The 21460-nt window shown below is 56.0% G+C and overlaps 1 long non-coding RNA gene across 1 annotated transcript in view, besides 4 other annotated features; it reads right to left on the minus strand.

Moving 5' to 3' along the window:
- Positions 1 to 21460, minus strand: part of SEMA3F-AS1 (SEMA3F antisense RNA 1) — a 40064-nt gene that overhangs the window by 11681 nt on the left and 6923 nt on the right. Inside the window, exon 2 of the long non-coding RNA NR_135301.1 lies at positions 8755 to 8866. This is a non-coding gene — a long non-coding RNA (SEMA3F antisense RNA 1). The remainder of the gene's footprint in view (positions 1 to 8754; positions 8867 to 21460) is intronic.
- Positions 5314 to 5815: an enhancer, noted in NCBI's record as "H3K4me1 hESC enhancer chr3:50170449-50170950 (GRCh37/hg19 assembly coordinates)". NCBI's record gives its function as "activates a minimal SCP1, AML or CMV promoter by ChIP-STARR-seq in primed H9 embryonic stem cells {active_cell/tissue: H9 hESC(primed)}" and the evidence as "EXISTENCE:reporter gene assay evidence [ECO:0000049][PMID:30033119]".
- Positions 7574 to 8165: an enhancer, noted in NCBI's record as "H3K27ac-H3K4me1 hESC enhancer chr3:50172709-50173300 (GRCh37/hg19 assembly coordinates)". NCBI's record gives its function as "activates a minimal SCP1, AML or CMV promoter by ChIP-STARR-seq in naive H9 embryonic stem cells {active_cell/tissue: H9 hESC(naive)}" and the evidence as "EXISTENCE:reporter gene assay evidence [ECO:0000049][PMID:30033119]".
- Positions 12536 to 13097: an enhancer, noted in NCBI's record as "H3K27ac-H3K4me1 hESC enhancer chr3:50177671-50178232 (GRCh37/hg19 assembly coordinates)". NCBI's record gives its function as "activates a minimal SCP1, AML or CMV promoter by ChIP-STARR-seq in primed H9 embryonic stem cells {active_cell/tissue: H9 hESC(primed)}" and the evidence as "EXISTENCE:reporter gene assay evidence [ECO:0000049][PMID:30033119]".
- Positions 13098 to 13659: an enhancer, noted in NCBI's record as "H3K4me1 hESC enhancer chr3:50178233-50178794 (GRCh37/hg19 assembly coordinates)". NCBI's record gives its function as "activates a minimal SCP1, AML or CMV promoter by ChIP-STARR-seq in naive and primed H9 embryonic stem cells {active_cell/tissue: H9 hESC(naive and primed)}" and the evidence as "EXISTENCE:reporter gene assay evidence [ECO:0000049][PMID:30033119]".

Raw genomic sequence — 21460 nt, forward strand, 5'->3', positions numbered from 1 at the left:
CATGATGAAATATGATACACTAGGCTGGGCACAGTGGCTCATGCCTGTAATCTCAGCACTTTGGGACGCTGAGGCGGGTGGATCACCTGAGGTCAGGAGTTCGAGACCAGCCTGGCCAATATGGTGAAATCCCATCTCTACTAAAAATACAAAAAATTAGCTGGGCATGGTGGCACATGTTTGTAATTTCAGCTACTCAGGAGGCTGAGGCAGGAGAATCACTTGAACCCAGGAGGCAGAGGTTGCAGTGAGCCTAGATTGCGCCATTGCACTCCAGCCTGGCAAAAAGAGCAAAACTCCATCTTGGGAAAAAAAAAAAGAAAGAAATACGATATACTCAGGGCACGAGTGAAAATTGTATGGGAATGTGGTAAATAAGACACCCAGGGCAGAGTTAGGTCTTGTATTAGGGGCATGGGTATATGCTGCCCTTAGGACACACTGAATTCCTGCTGAAGTCTGGATGACTGCTGAACCCAGTGTGGGGTTGTTGACACACGTAGCAACAGTCCTTAGGGCTTTCAAAGCAGCCCAAAGCAAACCAAAAAGGAAACGTCATGGATGGTGAACCCAGCAAGCCTCTGGCCATTCCTGGACCAGGAGTTGGGGTCCAGGTGACTCATGGGGACACCCATGGATTCCAAATCTGCCCACAGGGTGAAGTCCTCACTCCTCACAAGGCATCCAGCCCAGCTCTGCCAAGCAGGGCTGATGGCTGGAGATGAGGAGCAGGGTCAGCCTAAAGGAGGCCCAGGGAGGAGCCCCTACCTCCCTCACCCTCTGGCTTAGGCAGCCTGGGAGCCGCCTGTCCAAGCTCTCCAAGAGAACCTTCAGGTCCATTGGGTGCAGGGCAGAGCCAGCGTGGGTGTGTCCTCAGCTCTGGGGAACCTCTCACCTGAGGTTCCAGGTGCTCCTGTGTGTTTGGATATAGGCCCGGGCTACTATGGGGCACCATTTGTAGTCTCTGGGGCTGCAGGGGATGCACCCCACATGGCATGGTCCTGGTGGGAGAGAGGGTGAAGGTGGAGACCGACACAGGCTCCAGGCCAACCTGGCTTGGGAGCAACTTGAGAGTTCCTGCTCTGGACAGGGATCTCAGCCACCTTGGGGCAAGTAGTCCATGGAGGCTGGAGGGCCCCAGTTCCAGAGAGTGTGGGCACTTTCTTTTTTGTTGTTTGTTTTTTGTTTTTTGAGATGGAGTTTCCCTCTGTTGCCCAGGCTGGAGTGCAGTGGTGTGATCTTGGTTCCCTATAACCTCCACCTCCTGGGTTCAAGTGATCTCCTGCCTTAGCCTCCTGAGTAGCTGACGGTACAGGAGTGTGCCACCATGTCCAGCTAATTTTAGTAGAGACGGGGTTTCACCATGTTGGCCAGGCTGGTCTCGAACTCCTGACCTCAGGTGATCTGCCCGCCTCAGACTCCCAAAGTGCTGGGATTACAGGTGTGAGCCACTGTGCCCGGCCCACGTGGGCACTCTCCATCTCCTTAAGGTCTCTGTGTGTGTGTGTGCCCATGCATGTGAGCAAGAGGAGTAGTCTGGGTACACCAAGCCCTCACTCCCTCCTGGGATCAGGACCACCCCCTACCTTGTATGGTAAACGTACCTGATAGCAATAGCTTAAGCGTACCCGGAGAATGACCCTGTATGGAGGTGCACGTAAATGCGTGTTCTGAGCTAGGGAATGAGGGAGTGGCCAACCCAGAGATTCATTCCTTATCTATGAGGAACATTTGAGCCCCCATCCTGGCCTATGGTACAAGGCCATACAGGGGATTGAAGCCTAAATTTTAGGTTAATTGAAGGTTGCCAGGTGGAGGTCATGGGGAGGGGGTGTTGAGTGAAAATGCTCTATAAACCACATGCTGTTCAAAAGCAGCTGCAGTTCTCCTGTCCAGCCCACTGCCACTGGACGTTCCCCCCGTATGTAAGTCTCCAGTCAAACCCCATGTTTTTTTTTTACTTTGAGACATAGTCTCACTCTGTTGCTCAGCCTGGAGTGCAGTGGCACCATCTTGGCTTACTGCAACCTCCACCTCCCAGGTTCAAGCAATTCTCCTGCCTCAGCCTCCAGAGTAGCTGGAATTATAGGTGCATGCCACCACTCCCAGCTGATCTTTGTATTTTTAGTAGAGACGGGGATTTTGCCATTTTGGGCCAGGCTGGTCTCGAACTCCTGGCCTCAGGTGATCCACCCACCTTGGCCTCCCAAAGTGCTGGGATTACAGGCATGAGCTATAGTACCCAGCCTCCCCATGTCTGATTTGCTAGCTCTGAGTCTCTTCTTTGGCTTTTTTTTTTTTTTTTGAGGCGGAGTTTCTCTCTTATTGCCCAGGCTGGAGTGCAGTGGCACGATCTCAGCTCACTGCAACCTCCGCCTCCTGGGTTCAAGTGATTCTCCTGCCTCAGCCTCCCGAGTAGCTGGAATTACAGGCGCCTGCCACCACACCTGGCTAATTTTTTGTACTTTTAGTAGAGATGGGGATTCTTCATGTTGGCCAGGCTGGTCTCGAACTCCTGACCTCAGGCGATCCAGCCACCTTGCCCTCCCAAAGTGCTGGGATTATAGGCACGAGCCACTGTGCCCGGCCTTCTTCAGCCTCTTGAAACTGCCTTCCCTATTGAGGTTGACAGGGGCTCGGCACGACATACCCCCAGCCTAAATCCAGCCTTAGTGGTTCCCTTTCCAGCTGCCATTCCAAGGGCCTTAGCACTGCCAGGATGGTTTTCATGCCATGGGCAGTCAGGACCCTGGAATTTGTTAACCTGGGTTGACCTAGTCTCATGGGGAGGCAGGATCTTGAAAGGGCAAACCTGGGCCAATCTCCCTCTCCCAGAGCTGGGCCTAGCAGCTTGGGCGGGTGTAAGCCCCTTCTGGTCTCAGTCTTCCTGCCTGTGATGAGGTAGTTGGACTGCGAGAGCCCCTATCCAAGGTACTGCCTTGACCTTGGACAGAGGGAGCCCAGGCAGGAATGTCTCCTCTTCCCTTTCACCCATCAGTTCACAGCCCCCTGGAAGAGCAGGCCAAGCCAGCCTCTTGAGAGAAGGCAGGAGGCACAAGAGTGCCTTGGGTTTGTTCTTACTTCTCCAGAGTCAGGCAGCATCTCCTTTTTGGTTCCTCTCCCTAGCCCAGGTAGCCCCAGGGTTTACCCAGCCCACCTGGGCAGCCCAGGAGGCAGCAGCCCGCCCGAGGCTCCAGTATCCCCTCGGAATTCCTGTGCCGAGGCCATGTTCTCAACAGAAGAGAAGCTTGGGGGTGGTTCTGGAAATTTGGATTTTATTTATATTATTACTCTTTTTTTGAGACAGGGTCTTTCTCTGTCACCCAGGCTGGAGTGCAGTGGCACAAACATGGGGTTCACTGAAGCCTTGACCTCCTGGGCTCAAGCTATACTCCCTGCTCCCAAGTAGCTGGGACTACAGGCATGCACCACCATGCCTGGCTAGTTGTTTATATTTTTTGTAGAGACGGGCTTTCGCTAAGTTGCCCAAGCTGATCTCGAACTCCTGAGCTGAAGCCATCCTCCTGCCTTGGCCTCCCAATGTGTTGGGATTACAGGTGTGAGCCACCACGCCCCCGCTGGAATCTAGATTTTAACAAGTCAGCTTGAAGCTGGCAAGCTGGGAGAGTGGATACCCCCAACTCCCTCTTTGCTGATTTCCTGCATGTGGGGGTGCATGTGAGCATGCAGGCAAACACACACACACATATGCACACACACGCGCGCACACACACACACACACAGCCAGATCTCCAAGGCCACAGGCAGCCCATATCATCTCCAAACCTCGGAAACACTAATGCATTAATGGAAGAGCCACAATGCTCCCGGGTGTGTCTAACAAGCATCTTGTGGCGTCACTGGGCAACCCAAGAGACTGACTCTGATGGTAGAATGTCAGGCCATGGGGCCAGTGAGCCTGAATGTCCAGCCGCTAGCATGGGGACTGTGGGTGTGAGAGGGTCAGTTGGGACCCAGTGGCTCCACAGGTCAGTCCTGAGCCTGAACCACAACCTGTCAAATGTCAACTATGGTTCTGGCTGCCTGGCTGTTTGGGGCTTCCTGAGAGTATCCTCAGTAGTGGCAGAACAGGACCCTTTCTGTTCCTCTCTGGGACCTCACACCAAATCAGGAGGAGGACAGATCTCCTCCTCTAGCCCTGGAGGCTAGGTCCTTGGAGGAGATGACTGTCACCTTGAGGAGCCACCCTCCAGGTGTGTGGCCATACTGGTGTGTGTGGCCACCGGCCAGGTGTATACAGCAACCCTCCAGGTGTGTGTAGCTGCCTTCAGGGTATTACATGGAGCTGATCTCTGGCCATGCGCTTCTTTTTTTTCTTTTTTTTTTTGGGTGGGGGGATGGAGTTTCACTCTTGTTGCCCAGGCTGGAGTGCAATGGTGCAATCTCAGCTCACTGCAACCTCCACCTTCCAGGTTCAAGTGATTCTCCTGCCTCAGCCTCCCAAGTAGCTGGGATTACAGGTGCACACCACCACGCCCAGCTAATTTTGTATATGTAGTAGAGACAGGATTTCACCATGTTAGCCTGGCTAATCTCAAACTCTCGACCTCTGGTGATCCGCCCGCCTTGGCCTCCTAAAGTGCCGGGATTACATGCGTGAGCCACTGTGCCTGACCTAATTTTTGTATTTTTAGTAGAGACGGGGTTTCACCATGTTGGCCAGCCTGGTCTCGAACTCCTGACCTCAGGTGATCCACCTGCCTCAGCCTCCCACAGTGCTAAGATTACAGGTGTGAGCCACCATGCCCAGCCTGGTCATGTGCTTCTTCTTTCTTAGGACCATGACCAATGACACTGACTCCCAGCCTGTCACTCCCTGAGGTCAGGAGCTGAGTTCCATGGTTTCCAAGCCCCACGGTCTGGCTAGTTAGGAGCCCAGTTAAGCAGGCTCATGACTCCACCCCAGGCTTCCAGGCTGCAGATGGTGCCAGATAGGGGTGGGTGGTGGGAGCTAGGGGATTACTCCCAACAATCCATTCTCCTGTGACTCCACCACCAGGGAGAAGGGGCCCAGCCTGGCTTTCTGCCCCCTGGAAAGGTAGGGGTGAAATTATCCCAGGCTGGATAGTTCCCCACCCCCAACTGCTCTATCCAAGCCCAGCCTCCTCTGTTAACCCCCTCCGGCCACATCCCAAATCCCCAATCCCAGCAGCAGACCTCGGTGTTTGCCTGTTGCCATGGTGATGGGATGCACCTTTCTGTTACTATGGCAACCAGCCAGGGGTTTTTAAAATTCAGTTGAGGTAATTTCCACCCCTCAATCCTCATCTTCAGACACCTCGTTTCTTCTTTCTTCTCTGAATCTTAGAAGGATGGTGGGAGGGGGGCCTGTAGCCACCAGCCAGAGGTGGAGGGTCAGAGGGGCTGGTGGGAAGACTTGGGCCAATTCCTCCCTGACTCCTCTACCCAGACTAGATCCAGAATAGGACAGCTTCCTCCCCATTCCCTTCCCAGGCCCTTATCTATGGGGAAAAGATAAGAGCTTCACATCTCTTGGCAGGCAGAGGCCAGCGCACCTGGGAGGTCCAGGTGATGGTGCGGCCAATGTGGCCCTGTGCCCACGCAGGAGCAGGGAGAGTCAGCAGGGGTCCTCCTGGTCCTCCCCACTGTGTCCCCAGGGCTCATCTGGGGATCTTGGGACACTGGGGATCAGACCCTGGGATCTCAGGGCACAGATGTTGTTTATGCTGTGTCCTGGTGCTAAGGAGCTTAGCTCAGTGGAACACCAGGTTGACGGATTTGGACAGAGGGCCTCTGAGAAGGCTGACGGGAAAGGGGGTGCACACACTGTCCAGTACCTCCCCTCCCCCTGCTGGAGCTCTCAGTCTGTGGGCACCCGCTTCATGAAGTCTAGGCATTGTAAATTCATGAGGACCAGCACCCCTCCCTGCCCCCACCTGCCTCCTGGCTGGAGAAGAGGAGCTGACAGCCCAGGACAGGCAGGTAGATGCATCCTGTCTCCCCACCCCACCAGCAAAGCAGGCTGGGACTAGGGGCAATGGAGCCCCAGATGCCATGCACTGCCCAGTCCTCATCTGCAGGTAACTCTTCCCCCGCTTGACTTGTCTCTAGCAGTCGGATTCTCCCACAAATGGGACCTCCCACAGGGAAGAGGTTTCAAGGAGGGAGGATCTGGGAGAGTCCTGTGGCAGGGATGCCTCCCCACCTGCCCCCACCTCTGACCTGGGCATGTTTTCCCTTCCTACCCATCAGTCAGGGAGGGGCCCTTCCATCTCACGATGGACGCTGAGCATTGCTGTAACTCTGACAGCCCCACACCTGGTTCCCCAAAGCCAAGGACTACAGGGCCATCACATGGGTGTCAGAGCCAAAGGGAAGTCACTTCTTGCCTCCCTGTCCCTTAGACACACGGGCCAAGACCCTATAGCTACAGCCCTTCTGGGGTACAGATGAGCCAGCAAACCTTGAGAGGCGACAGAGAACCCCTGGGTGAGGCCCTGCCCACCTCCCACTCCTCCTTGCCCAAGGCAGGGATGTCCCAGAGACCAGATGATTTGTTTGGGGTAAGCATTGTCCTCCCCAGTCTCTTTTACAGAACAACAGCCCCGGAGTCCACTCCACCTGGGGAAGGGGGTCCCTACTGCCTGCCCACCGAGGCCCCACAAGGCCATCACAAGGGTCCACAAGTGCCTGAACACCTGGGTCTGCAGCCCCCCCACGTGCAGGATAGTAAAGTCTGTGTTTGACACTTTTCATGAGTTATTATTCCCACCAGCCCTGTAGGCTCCACCAGCCCAGACAAAGCCACAAGGTTCTCCATGGTAGGCAGCGTTAATTCTTTTCTGTCCTGCTGCCAGCTGGTGGGAAGGGTGAGGGAGGAGGGGTTACTGGGACCCCTGGTAGGAAGGTGGTGGGGCCCAGAGCTGGGGCAAGGATGGAGGAGTGCTGTGCCAACCCACCCACCACCACCTGCCCACTGTTCTTTCTACCCCTGCTCCTCCCAAGCTCCCAAACCAGAGAAGCCCCAGGCTAGGGCTGGGGAGGAGGGAGCCCAGCCCAAGCCATAGGTGAGTGTGGGGATGTCCCATGTAGGGAACCCTAGTCCTGAGCTTTCCCTCCCCTCTCAGCAAGGGGTCCAGCAGCTGGGCAAGCAGAGGGGGATGCTTATCTCCCAGGTCCCTCATAACCTTCTTGGGTTGCGGAACCCAAGGAAGGCCAGACTCCCTTCTTCCCCCAGCAATCTGTGGCTCCCCGGCTCTCCACAGAGCTCCCAATATCACGGAGCTGATCCTGAGCCCCACTACAGCTCCCCCAAGGCCTCCATGCTTGAGACCCTATGGCTGAAGTCCTGGGGGTCAGGGGTGCTGGGGGTTTGTCATGTGAGCAGCAGGCATCTGGTCAACCCCTCTCAGTGTGGCTGGCTTGTGCTTGGCATCAGCTAAAGCAACAGCTAGCTGGGGCAGGCCCTCCAAGAAAGTTGGCTGGCCCTGGCAGGCTTGTGCAGCACTGGAGACCCTGTCCAGTCAGACAAGGAGTGCAAGTGAGAGAGAGACCAGAAGGGCGCAGGGCTGATGCAAGCCCCTCTGCTGGGGCAGGACAGAGGTCAGCAGGGTGGGAATGGAGGCAGCTCCATCCCGAACACCTGATGGCTTAGGTTCTGGCACGGCCTAGACTCCTGGCACCGTTTTTCCTTTAGGGTCAGAGCCAGCAACCTGCCCCCCACATCTTATGTATCCATATCATGCAGGTGGCGGGCCTCAAATTCCACCAGGCCAGTGTTCCTAGACTAGCCAAGAATTCAACATCAAGAAACTTGAATTGCTCTGTCTTAGTGGAGCAGGGTCCCTGGGGCTCCAGGATCAGGTATCAAGGCCCAGAAGTCTTCCTCCCAAGGAAGCACTTAAAAAAGAAGTGGAGGAAGGGCCCATGCTGTTTATAGCCTGTGTGATGTGCCAGCCCAAACCCAGGACATATGGCCTTGTTCTTGGGGCAGCCTCCTGCCAGTCAAGACATGAACATCCCAGCTTTAGAGCTGGGAAACTCAAAGGTTCAGAGAGGACGGGAGATTTGTCCAAAATCCCACAGCTCATTATCTCCCCAGCCTGGGAGCTGGACAGTGGGGCCAGGCGGCATTGCCTAACCAGGGCACAGGGAGGAGGCACTGATTCAGGTCGCCAAGGCAGGGCTCTCCACCAGCACAGGGGGGTAGAATGGGCCTCCTGGTAGGGAGTGAGGGCCCAGTTCCTGCGGCATGGAGCTGAGGCTTTCAGGGGATCTGTCAGCGTGGGTAGGGGTGGTTGCTGAGGGGTGGGGTATATATGCTGTACTGTTAGCTGCTTAGGTGACCCCGGCACACAGACAAAGAGGAGACCAGAGTTGGGAGTATGGGGGGTACTTGGGGGGCATTGAGGTGGTCCCCGCTGCTGGCTGACGGGGCTGAAGATGAGCAGCTGAGGAGGCCCTCCTAGCACATCTGACAATACTGTGCTCCCTGAACCTCCGGAAGCAACCCTGGTGTCAACAGCCCACCTTGGTCTCTTGAAACATTGACAGGCCACCCATCCCAGGTCTCTCAGGTGCCTCTTTCCTTGCTCCCAGTCCTGTCTTCCAGAAAGATTCTGAGCTCCCTGTAGGCAGAAACCATATCTGGCTCATGTCCACCACCCACCCCCTCTCCCTGACCCCCCTACCCTGGGGCCTGGGAAAGGGAGGGGCACACAGGCTGTTCTGTGAGGCAGTGAGTGAGTTTTCCGTAGAGCTTTGGAAATGTACCTTGTGGTCGTCACTAGGTCAGGTGACTGAGCTTTTACCCAGGGTTGCCAGAATCTGGGGACCAAATGTGACTGAGCCAGAGATGGTGGCCGTCCTCCCAGAGCTGAGTCTCCTGGAAAAGGAGGAAAAAGCAGATAAAGAGTGGTCCGACCTGTGATGGGGCCACAGGAGTTGTGAGATACAAGGGAGGGGCTGGGGGCTTTGAGGAGAAGTCCCTGAGCTGAGCTAGCTGGGTCCAGGGGTCTCCAACTGCAGCCCAGAGCAGGAAGCTATATGAGGACCTGGGAGGAGCCCCTTATGGCTGAAGGGGTCTATTCAGGCTTTCTCTGAGAGCTGGTCTCAGGGGAAGAGGATGAAAGGGAGCTCTGAGCAGAGGTTCTGGGGGAACTCCCTGTCCACCACGGACAGCCTAGGGACATGCAGCCGGGATGTGGCAAAGGCAGGGCCCTGGGTCACTGCCTGTCAGGAATCTGAAGCACAGGCCAGCTCAAATCTCACTGGCAGCAGGCTCCACACATCTCCCTGGAGACTGAGAATGCAACCAGGGAGTGATCAGAGGACATTCAGGCCAGGAACATTGGAGGTGCAGACTCAGGGGGTACTTGTCACCTCAGCCTGGTCTGAACTCAGCTGTGTCACTTCCCAGCAGGCACCCCATTCCCAGGGACTGGATTATCTTCCCCCAGGGCCTGCTGGGGTGGCCCCGGATGCCCTAGCCCGGCATACACCTGCCCCACTGCCTACTCCTCCCAGACACAGTGTCAGTTCCCTCACATCTGGGCAGGGGAAGCCTGCTTTTCAACAGCTGCCAAAACAGACCCAGCCTCCTTCTTTGGAAACTGTCTGCCCAGCTCAGGCTGCCTGAAGTGACCGTGGGGCTGGGGCCCTCAGTGGGGTGGGATTGGGGAAGGTGAGGGAGGAAGCCCCTCAGCCCTGCTCTGGAGCTCGCATGAGCTCCGCAGCTGTCCATTGCCCCAATCTTGCCTGATGACCACATGGACCTCTGAGCCCCCAGCCTCATGGCTGACCACTGCCTGCCCGCATTCAGCCAGGCTGAGGTTCTCTTGGGCCTTCCCCAGACAACCTGTCTCCTTTTCTGGCCTTTGCTTCCCTTCAGAGACTCTTCCCACGGCCCTGCATTCCCCACCACCACACCGGCTGAGCCGAGCTGTCTTTCCCAGTGTCCCAGTGCCCACCCCCACCCCTATGGCAAGGACAGGCTCTCACACCAGGGGTGCACCATAAGCATCGTCACCCCTGGCCATGACTCTCCAGGACAGGTGCTCTCAGGGATGATGCCTGACCACCTGGGACCAGCTGTGCTCCCTCCTGCTCCTCCAGCCCTGGCTCCAGTCCCCTTGGCTTTACCAGGCTCTGAAGGCCTGACCTAGACTCAGGCGCCCATCTGAGGCCCACACAGCCCAGCTGTGCCTGCCCTCGCCCACCTGGAGAAAGAAGGGGCTGGCATATCTTCTTTCCCCACTCCCCTCACATCTGGAATTGGCCTTGTTAGGGGGCCCTGTGATGGGGAGAGGAGGGAGGGAAGCCTGGCTAGGTCTCAGAGCTCTCTCAGCTGAGAAGTGGGGATGATTGTCCCCCCAGTCTATGGAGTGTGGGGCTGCTGTGGACAATGGGATCTGGGCCTCTGCTGGGAGGTGTTGACCTCAATGCCTCTCTCCCTGCCTGACTTCAGTGCTCTCTGTATCCTGATGGAGACTTTCTGACAGCGCAGGGGGTGGGTTGTGGGGTCCTGCTGCCTGTAGAGCTGTGTGTGAGCTCCTCAATGGCCCAAGGGTACACAGGGGTCTCTGACTGTACCCTTCCTCTTAGACCTTGTGCCAGTGGGGAGTGAGAGTGTACCAGCCCCTCCCTCTGGGCACTCCAAAATGCACCCCTTGGAGAGAGAGTACACCCCTCAAAGTTCATTTCCCATTTCCTGTGAGTCAGGTCTCAACCTGACAGGCATCCTCTCTCACCTCCCAATCACCATTTCCTTCCACCCTTTCCCCCTTTCCCCCACTTAATCAGAATCTGCCCCCACCCCCACAGAGTGACTTCCCCTCCTGGCTCCTCATTCCCCCTGCAGTGGGGAGGGGCCAACATCCCCAGCTCCCTGCCTCCCTGCAGACCCTGTCTTCTCCCCTCTGCCCTTCAGGGAGCCCTACCCCATCCTGAAGTACTCCACCTTTCTGAGTCCCCTCTCCAACCTGGGGTTCAGTGTCCCAGGGACCCCACCCCCAGCAAACTTGGCTCCTTTCAGCTCCCCTCCCTTGCGGGCAGAGGCAGGGCGTTCAAGCCCATTTAATCTTGGCAGAATGCAATTTCCTGCTTCAGGGAGCTGGCGGGTTTAGGAGGCTTAATGAGGGGGGAGGGGGAGACAGGGAAGAAGAGAGGCTGAGACGGGGCTGGGAGATGGAGATGGAGAGTCCCTGAGAGGGGTGGTTGAGGAAGTCTCGGGGATGCGTGTCTTTGGGGGTCACCCTGGGGTCCTTGGGATCACACAGGGGTCAGCTCTTCTGTGTCAGCCTCTCACTGGTAGGTCAGGGGCCCCTGGGCGAACCTCCCAGCCCCAACTCTGTGGGGTGTGAATAGGGGGAGGGGAAGGGGCGTCAAAGTGGCTCACTGTCATCAAGAAGAGGGCCGGGGGTAATGAGATACGTGCCTGTGTGCACGGACAGGCAGGGGGACATGCACCTCTACGGCCAAGGGGGTGAGAGGTGCAGGTCCCAGTGCGAAGGCTGGGGAGGGGTCCTGGGGAAAATGTGCAGCTGGAGGTGCTGGGTGGACTGGACACTTTGGGTGGGTCCCACGGCAGGACAGAGGGTGTAGCTGTAACTGGCAGCCCCAAGCCCCCCAGGTGGTAGAATGGGCAGCCAGGCTGGAATTTCAGCCCCAAATGGGATGCTTATCTGTATGCTGCCACCAAGGAGGCAGAGACGATAAAGGACAAAGGGGCCTCTGGGCTGCTGGAAGCCCCACACCTGGTGGGGGCGGGGTAGCCAAGAGCCCTGCCTAACACCTGGAGCACAGACAGCTCCTGGGGGAGATTGGAGCCCCTGCCTACAACCCACCTGACCCCCTGACGGCACCCCTACCGCTCTATCCCCCAAACTGGCTCAGCAGATCTGTTCCCAGAGAAGCCCTTAGAGGAGCCGCAGCCCATCGGGGCAGGGAATCCCCAGGCAGGGCTTGGGGGAGGGTTAGGGATGGCCCAGGACCATCCCTGAGCCCACTCCTCCTTCTAGGAGTGCTCATTCATGGGGGCCTGGGAGAAAGGCTGGTGAGGACCCTGGGAGGCTGAAGCCCTCAGCTCCTTGGTACCTTGGGCACAGCCTTCTCCCTCAGTATCTGGGCCTCAGTATCTTATGAATTAGGGCACTAGGGCAGGGACTCTGAGGAGTAAACCCTGCCCCCTTGGAAGCAGACAGGCCCTGCCCCTGTACAAGGACCCTCCATGGGTGTGCTTGGATGGCAGCCAGGAGTGCAGAGGAGGATGCTGGGAAACTGGGGAGGGCAGAAGGTATGAGAGGGACCTGGCCTATGGCCTCGTGCCCTCGTAGAAGCCTCAAGGCGCACCCGTTTGCCACCCCTCCTGAAAGCAGCTTGTCCTACAGATGGGTTGTCCCATCCCTCGGGGAAGGATGGGTCTCATTCGACCAACAGAGTCCTCACAGAGGCAGCAAAGGCCCCCCAGGCTGGCAGTCTCCAGCAGTGCCCAGCCCCAGCCCCTGGTTCCGTGCAGCTCTGCTTCCTGGGGCCAGCTGAGCCTGCCCACCTAGCCTAGGCACCTCCGGCTGGGTCCTCCCCAAGGACTGTTCGAGGGCCCACGTCTGCCTTCACTCTGCTGCTCTGCTGCTCCGTCCAGGCCCCCCTGGCCCTTGGAAGAGCCAGCCCAGGTGAAGCTCATGTGCCACTGCCGCTGCCCTCACCCTATCACCCATCGCTAGGAGGTTGTGAAGCTGCCTGAGTCCTGCCCCAGACAGCACCACACTCTGGCCTCCAGGACACACCATGGCAGGGCATGCCTCCAGGCTCTCCCACCACTGTTCACTCATCCTTCAGGACAGGATATCTGTGATGCGTCCTTTAAGGCCCAGCAGCAGTGTCACCTCCTCTAGGCAGCCTTCCTTCAGTCACCCTCTCAGCCCCAGGGCACCCTCTGCACCCCGTCACCCGGACACCTCCCTGCTGACCTGGGGCTTCATCTTCTTGCCCTACAGCTCCTGGTGCATAATTGTTTACAGGAACTGTGGGCTGGGTGTTGGGGTCAGAGCCAGAGTGGGAGAGCCAGAGTGGGGCTGTCCTATTTAAGGAAGGAGAGAGGTGGGGGCCCAGGAGACCCAGGTGGCCTGCCATTCCCCTGACAACCCACGTGCTGGTCCCTCCTCCACCCGCCCTGGTCCTGCGGAGGACAGTAATGTTGTCTTTGCCTGTGGAGGCTCCGGTGGGTGTAACGTGTGTGCTAGGTGGGCCACCATGCAGGCCTGGATGCCCAAAGATCAGAAGCAATGGCAGAAGACAGGGTCAAGGCTGGGCAGTTGAGGACTGCCCCAACCTGAGTGGACCCTTCGGTTGGATGAGAAGATAAATGCGCCCCCACTCTCTCCTGGGGCCGCAACAGAGCAATTCCACAGTCTCTTGTGCCCCAGTGATGGCGTCTACGTCTCCCTGTCATCTACCGGGGAGGGCTGATAAGTCATAACAAAGGTGACTCAGGGAGCCTGCGCCCTACACACTAGATGCTGCTCCGGCAATCTGTGCTCGGTGGCTAGTTTGATCCTTTCGGCACCCTGTGAGGAAGAAACTTGCTCTCATTTAACAGCTGAGGAAACTGGGGGCAAGTGCATACCCATGGGAGGGTGAGAGCCTCATACAGCCAGGCCTGGAGCTGGGGCCCATCATGGGGCCTGCAGGAGGCGTCCATGCACATGCGTGCACATGCACCCCCAGCCCCAGCCTCGTGAGTCCTTCTTCTCTCTTTTTTTTCTTTCCTTCTCCTTCCCTCCTTCCTTCCTTCTTTCCTTCCTTCCTTCCTTCCTTGCTCCCTCCCTCCCTCCCTCCCTCTCTCTCTCTTTCTTTTTTTCTTTCTTTCTTTCTTTCTTTCTTTCCATGGGGTCTCGCTCTGTCGCCCAGGCTGGAGTGCAGTGGCGCAATCTTGGCTCGCTGCAAGCTCCACCTCCAGGGTTCACACCATTCTCCTGCCTCAGCCTCCAGATTAGGTGGGACCACAGGTGCCCGCCACCACGTCCAGCTAATTCTTTTGTATTTTTAGTAGAGACAGGGTTTCACTGTATTAGCCAGAATGGTCTCAATCTCCTGACCTTGTGATCCACCCATCTCGGCCTCCCAAAGTGCTGGGATTACAGGCATGAGCCACCGCGCCCGGCCCTTCCTTCCTTCCATCCTTCCTTCCTCTCTTCTTTTTCTTTCTTTCTTTTTCTTTCTTCTTTCTTTCTTTTTCTTTCTTCTTTCTTTCTTTCTTTCTTTTCTTTCTCTCTCTTCCCTCATTCCTTCCCTCCCTCCTTCCTTCCTTGTTTTCTTTCCTTTTCTTTTCTTTCTTTCTTTCTTTCTTTCTTTCTTTCTTTCTTTCTTTCTTTCTGTCTCTCTCTCTCCCTTCCTTCCTTCCTCTTTCTTTTTTCTTTTTTTTTTTGACAGAGTCTCACTCTCTCGCTCAAGCTGGAGTGCACTGGGCTCACTGCAACCTCTGCCTCCCAGGTTCAAGCAATTCTCCTGCCTCAGCCTCCCGAGTAGCTGAGACTACAGGCGTGCGCCACCAAGCCCAGCTAATTTTTGTATTTTTAGTAGAGACAGGGTTTCACCATGTTGGCCAGGCTGCTCTTGAACTCCTGACCTCAGGTGATCCACCTGCCTCGGCCACCCAGAGTGCTGGGATTACAGGCGTGAGCCACTGCGTCTGGTCTCTCTCTTTCTCTTTCTGTCTCTTTCTTTTTCTTTCTTTCTTTCTTTGTCTCTCTCCTTCCTTCTTTCCTTCCTTCCTTCCTCCCTCCCTCTCTTCCTTACTTTCTCTCTCTTTCTTTCTTTCCTTTCTTCCTTCCTTCCTTCCTTTCTTTCTCTCTTTCTCTCTTTCTTCTTTCTTTCATTTTTGAGAAGGATTCTTGCTCTGTCCCTAGGCTGGAGTGCAGTGGTGCAATCTCGGCTCACTGCAACCTCTGCCTCCCGGCTTCAAGCAATTCTCCTGCCTCAGGCTTCCAAGTAACTGAGACTACAGGTGCCCACCACCACACTCAACTAATTTTTGTATTTTTACTAGAGACAGGGTTTCACCATGTTGGCCAGGCTGGTCTTGAACTCCTGACCTCAAGTGATCTGCCCACTTCTGCCTCCCAAAGTGCTGGGATTACAGGTGTGAGCCACCACGCCCAGCCCCAGCCTCATGATTCTGATGTTTGGGTAGGTCGAGTAAGGCCTGGTGAGGTCTGAAGAGCCCTGTGGACAGCAAGGCCAGAGCTGCAGGGCTTCCACCTCTGCCCAGGCTCCACACTTCTTTTTCTTTTTCTTTTTTTGAGATGGAGTCTCGCTCTGTCTCCCAGGCTGGAATGCAGTGGCGCCATCTTGGCTCACTGCAAGCTCCGCCTCCTGGGTTCACGCCATTCTCCTGCCTCAGCCTCCCGAGCAGGTGGGACCACAGGCGCCCGCCACCACGCCCGGCTAATTTTTTTGTATTTTTAGTAGAGACAGGGTTTCACCGTGTAAGCCAGGATGATCTCGATCTCCTGACCTCATGATCCACCCGCCTTGGCCTCCCAAAGTGCCGGGATTACAGGCATGAGCCACCGTGCCCGGACTTCTTTTTTTTTTTTTAAGACGGAGTCTCACTCTGTCACCAGGATGGAGTGCAGTGGCGTGATCTCGTCTCACTGCAACCTCCACCTCCTGGGTTCAAGCGATTCTCCTGCCTCTGCCTCAGCCTCCCAAGTAGCTGGGACTACAGGCATGTGCCACCACACCCAGCTAATGTTTTGTATTTTTAGTAGAGATGGAGTTTCACCATGTTGGCCAAGATGGTCTCAATCTCTTGACCTCATGATCCACCTGCCTTGGCCTCCCAAAGTGCTGGGATTACAGACATGAGCCACCATGCCCGGCTTAGGCTCCACACTTCTGAGAGGCTCAGGTTTCCCTAGATGCCAGGCCCTTTTCTGCCTGGAGTCTATCTCCCAGCCCTTACAGGACCTCTCCAAGGTGTGGGGTCTGGGTGGAGCCCGGGTCCTTAGGCATTCAAATTCCCCTAACTCTAGGCCATCAAAATCTCCCCTTCTGCCTTTCTGAGGTGGCTCCCATCTCTCAGCTCTAGGCCTGTAGGCCTTGCCTACCACTATTCCAAGACAATTTTGTTGAAATTTCAGGCCAAATTGGGGTGGAGAAATCAGTCTCTGTGGCTGGTGCCAACACAGGGTTGGGAGGACATGAGGTTGCAGAATGAATGAATGACATCTTTTTTTTTTTTTTTTTTTTTGAGATGGAGTTTCCCTCTTTTTGCCCAGGCTGGAGTGCAGTGGTGCAATCTCAGTTCACCACAACTTCCGCCTCCCGGGTTCAAGAGATTCTCCTGTCTCAGCCTCCCGAGTAGCTGGGATTATAGGCATGTGCCACCACGCCCAGCTAATATTTGTATTTTTAATAGAGACGGGGTTTCTCCATGTTGGCCAAGCTGGTCTCGAACTCCCGACCTCAGGTGATCTGCCACCTCAGCCTCCCAAAGTGCTGGGATTACAGGCGTGAGCCACCACACCCAGCATGAATGAATGACATATGACCAAGACACAGTGCATTTGAACCAGGCCAGAAGGACCAGGAGAACCCCGCTAGGGAGACAGGGAAAGGCATTCCTGGTGGGAGAATAGCCTAGGCAAAGGCTTGAGGGCAACATGATAGAAGACATGATGAGGGGTGGCCCTTCAGAAACCATAGAGTGACCTGAGGGCCTCCAGGCCCTGAGGTTTGCCTGGGAGCCCCTCCAGAGATCCCCCTGCTGCCTCTGCCTCGGCCACAAAGCAGGCCAACTGTGCTTTGCTTGTTCTGACTCCGACCTTCCACGCAGACCTTTCAGGGCCCCTGTCTCCCTATCTGTCAAGTGGTATCTTTGTCTGCAGTCTGGCCTGTACCGGGTGAGGGTCTCTGCCTGGGAAGATGTGGAGGCCTCATCCTGGGCCTGTGGGGACAGCATGGGTAGGGTTGGGTTCTCTAGAGTCTAGGACCCACAGCCACGCAGTCCCATCTTTCTTGGCGGGGGGTGTCCTTGATCAGTAGGTGACAAAGGGAGCAGGAACTGACACCTGTCCAGACAGCTGGGAGCTCCAAGATTCCCCCCACAATAAGCCCCATTGTGAGAAAACTCTAGGAGCAGCTAGGGGGATGTTCAGGGATTCAACACAGAATTTCCTCTAAACTCTGGCTGGTGGCAGGGCTCACATGTCTTGTGTCCCCACCTCAGCCCAGCCCACATGTTTTCCTCTTCCCTACCTGAAAGCCACAGGGTGGTAAGGGTCCAGCCTGGACACCGAGCCAGAGATCTAAGCAGGCCAAGGCCCCAGCACTGGGTCCCCTCTCTGAGCAACTAAAACTCCAGCAAGAAACACCCATGTTGTTGAGAGAATAGGCCCCAGCCAGCACTACCCGGCCCCTCTCTGGAGAACTGGGCCCCCATAGCATAGCCTAGGCCCAACCAGACCCCTGGCTGGGAAACGTGGGTTTCCTGAGGCTATGGTCAACCTAGGGCCTTGGGGTGCTGCCTAAGGTCCCATCTTTGGCCCCCCCAGCAGGTTATGACCCCTCTTGGTCTGGGGTCCATATGTCCTTGGCTATAGAGGGTACTGACCGCTGGGCACACTCAGCTGGTGGGGCAGCTGGGGCAAGGGAAGGGTGAAGCCTCAGGCAGTCCAGGGAGGGAAGCTGGGGCTGAGCAGGTGATCTGTGGGACCTGTCCCTCAGGGGAATCTGGGAGTGGCAGACCAACCCTGGCCTGGCTCCACCCTCAAATCCAAGCACTGAGACTGGGGGGTTAACACAGCGGGGGTGAATTTCCTCCTGGTTCCAGCCAGTCAGATTTCCACATGCCTCCCCTTCCCTGGGCAGGAGCCGGGCGCACAGAGAGAAGAGGAGCACTGAGGACTGCAGAGGGGAGTGGGGTGGGAAGAGGCTAGGCAACCCGCGGAGGAAGATGGTCCTGGGGGTGCTTTAAAAAAAGACAAGGCGGCCGGTGCAGTGGCTCATGCCTGTAATCCCAGCACTTTGGGAGGCCGAGGTGACAGATCACTTGAGGTCAGGAGTTCTAGACCAGCCTGGCCAACATGGCAAAAATCCATCTCTACTAAAAATACAAAAAATTATCTGGGCGTGGTGACACACACCTGTAATCCCAGCTATTCAGGAGGCAGAGGCAGGAGAATCGCTTGAACCCAGGAGGCAGAGGTTGCAGTGAGCCGAGATCACACCACTGCACTCCAGCCTGGGCGACAGAGCGAGACTACGTCTCAAAGACAAAAGAAAAGAGGCTGGGCGCAGTGGCTCATGCCTGTAATCCCAGCACTTTGGGAGGCCAAGCAGGTGGATCACGAGTTTAGGAGTTCAAGACCAGCCTGACCAACATGGTGAAAACTGGTCTCTACTAAAAATACAAAAATTATCTGGGCTTGGTGGCGTGCACCTGTAATTCCAGCTACTCGGGAGGCTGAGGCAGGAGAATCGCTTGAACCTGGGAGGCGGAGGTTGCAGTGAGCCGAGATCGTGCCATTGCACTCCAGCATGGATGACAGAGCGAGACTCTGTCTCAGAAAAAAAAAAAAAAGAAAGAAAGAAAGAAAAAAGAAAAGACAAGGCAGAGGGGCACAGGCCTCAGTTTCCCCTCAGGGACTATGAGGACTCCAAATGTCAGTGGTAGAGGGAGGGTGGTTGTCTCCCTCTGTAGCAGCATTGCCCCTCTGTGCCCTCTACTGGTGTCCTGGGTAACCTGGACCTGTCAAGGGCTGGGCCAGCCAGGGCTGCTGCTTGAGCCCAGAGACTTCCCTGCGAGCTGTGACCATGACTAAGGTAGGGCAGGGGGTGGTACACAGTAGGTGCACAGGCAGGTTGTGGCCACATGAATGCATTCCTCTGGGTGGCAGGAACTAGGTTTCCCTGATTTAGTCTGTGGATGCTGGAGCCAGGCAGGACAGAGTGTGAAGTCTGGATTTATGACCTCTCCCCATGCAGCCCTCCGCAATCCCTTCCTCACCCCTCCTCTGTCTCTTATCCCTCCATCTAGGTTGGTCCCTGCTCCTTCTGGCAGCAAACATGGGCTTTGCAGAAACTTGTCCTGGGATTAAATCTTAAACTGCTGTCTCAGGAGAGTGGGGGAGGGAGACCTACCCAGTGAGCCATGTGTCTGGGGTATATAGAAGCCGGGGAGGAGGCCTCTCTCCCCACCTCAAAACTCCAGATCAGGCCCAATGGATGGGCTTCTAGGGAAGGAGGAGGGAACCTGGCCAAGTCTGAAGGTACCCGGCAGCAGCCCCCGTGCTCTAGGCAGACCCTGTTCTTTCTCTCCTGGATATTCACAGCCTCCTCTCTGGCACCCCAGTAGCCAGGGGGATGTTTTAAAACCTGAAATCTGACTATGGCATATGCCCCATCACCCTCAAGTCAGCCGTTGTCCTTTATTCTTTCAGAGGTTGCAGTCCAACATTCAAGGGGGTCCTAGCCTGGAATCCCCAATAAGGTCATCCAGGCCCTTACTCCTCAAGGTCTCGGCATTCCCCTCTATTAAATGGGTACACAATGATGTTCCAGTCAAGGTGAGCCTGAGGCCTAATTCTTCGCGGGAGTTCACAGATAGCACCGGTGAAGCCTCCAATCCCTGGGTGAAGGGTCAGAAGTCAGGATTGGCCAAGGCCCCCACTCTGCCCAGTCACGTTTGAAAATCAAATCCTAACAGCACAAGAAGGCACCGAAACCCCAGGATAGGAGCACAGACTTGGCCTCACTGACCTACCAACCACAACACAGGGAGCAAAAGGGTTCATCTTTCTAGATGGAGTGCTCAGGAGCAAGCACCAGGCTGGCCAGGGCAGGCCTGGCTCCCCACCCACCTGGTACTGGCCCTGCTTCCCCAACCCTCCTCCAAGGCACTGAAGCCATGTGCTGTAAAGAGGAGATTCTCTGGAGGGAGCACTCCTCATTGGCCAGTCCGGGCACTGCTGTGCACAGAGGTCTTGCTGGTGAAGCCTCTCCAGTTCCTGGCTGGAGGAAGCTGGAGACCAAATAGGATGCTCTGGCCTCAGATCTCTGGTCTGAGATATGAGACAGTGATCTCATATCGCAACTCCTCCTTGGGCATGACCTGGAACCAGGCTTAGGGAGGAGGACCAGGATGACAGGGTGCCCAGTGTCTGCCCACCAGCCCCCCCTCCTTTTGAGGGGCTGCTTTCATCTGGGCCCCACTCCTCTGCTGGGAGCAAGGAACTAGGGGAGGCCACGCCACCGCTGTCATGGAAGGGACATTCCCCAGTCATTTGGAACTAAGTAAGTCCAGATCTCAGCTTGCAGTCCTGGCTGCAGGACCCTCCTCGGGCCCCCCTCCCCCAGGACTGTGGCCACACAGACACATGGAGGGAGTGTGCGCAGCAGATGCAGGCCTGGGAGGCAGCCAGAAACCTCCCAAGATCAGAGCCTGTCACCGCAGCTTTGTCAGGGAGCTGCCTAGGTCTCTCCTAGTCCTGAGGAACACCTCTGCCTAAGGGACTATGCCTGTCCCTGGAGAGCTCACGGTTAAAGCTGCAATGCCTTTTAAGTTAAAGCAGAGTCTATCTTGAGTCCTTGATGCTGCAACTTAAGACCCTCTCTCCTCCATCCACCTCTTCAGCAGTGTGGGGAAACAGCAAATGGGCATCTCTCCATGCCCCATTCTCAGCTCCAGGTAAGGGTGAGAGGGGAAAGCAGCTCACAGCCCCATCGAGTTATTCATTCAATACCTACCACGTGTCTGTCTCCATTCTGGGTGCTGGAGGAGGAGCAATAGATAGACAACAATCTCTGCATTCTTGGTTGGCAGCTTAGCATGAAAATAAGTAAATTATATCGTATGTTGGAATAAGAAAAAGAGAGGGAAGGTAAGGGAAGAAGAGAGGGAAGGTAAGTGGAGATGCAGAATGCTGGAGATGGTGGTGGTCAGGATGGGCATCACTGAGGAGGTAATATCTGAGCAAAGGCCTGAAGGAGGTGAGGGAGAAGCCATGGAGGTGTCTGGGATGGGCATCCAGGCCAAGGGAACGGTTGCTGCAGGGCCCTGAGGCTGGAGTGTGCCTGGAGTGGGAGGAAGAGGGAGGAGGACACAAGTCAGAGAGGTGGGGAAGAGGTGTGCAGGGTGAAGGGGTGTTGATGACCACTCCAAGGATTTGGCTTTGTTTTCTGTTTTAGTTTTTGGTCAAGATGGAGTCTCACTCTGTGGCCCAGGCTGGAGTGCAGTGGTGCAATCACGGCTCACTGCAGCCTCAACCTCCTAGGCTCAAGCAATCCTCCCGCCTCAGCCTCCAGAGTAGCAGGGGCCACAGGCACATACCACCACACCCAGCTAGATTTTTGTAGGTTTTTTTTTTTTTTTTGTGACAGAGTCTTGCTCTGTAGCCCAGGCTGCAGTGCAGTGGCGCAGTCTTGGCTCAATGCAATCCCCGCCTCGCGGGTTCAAGCAATTCTCCTTCCTCGGCCTCCT

The sequence above is a fragment of the Homo sapiens genome, chromosome 3 (genome assembly GCF_000001405.40).
Source record: "Homo sapiens chromosome 3, GRCh38.p14 Primary Assembly".
Classification (NCBI taxonomy): Eukaryota; Metazoa; Chordata; class Mammalia; order Primates; family Hominidae; genus Homo; species Homo sapiens.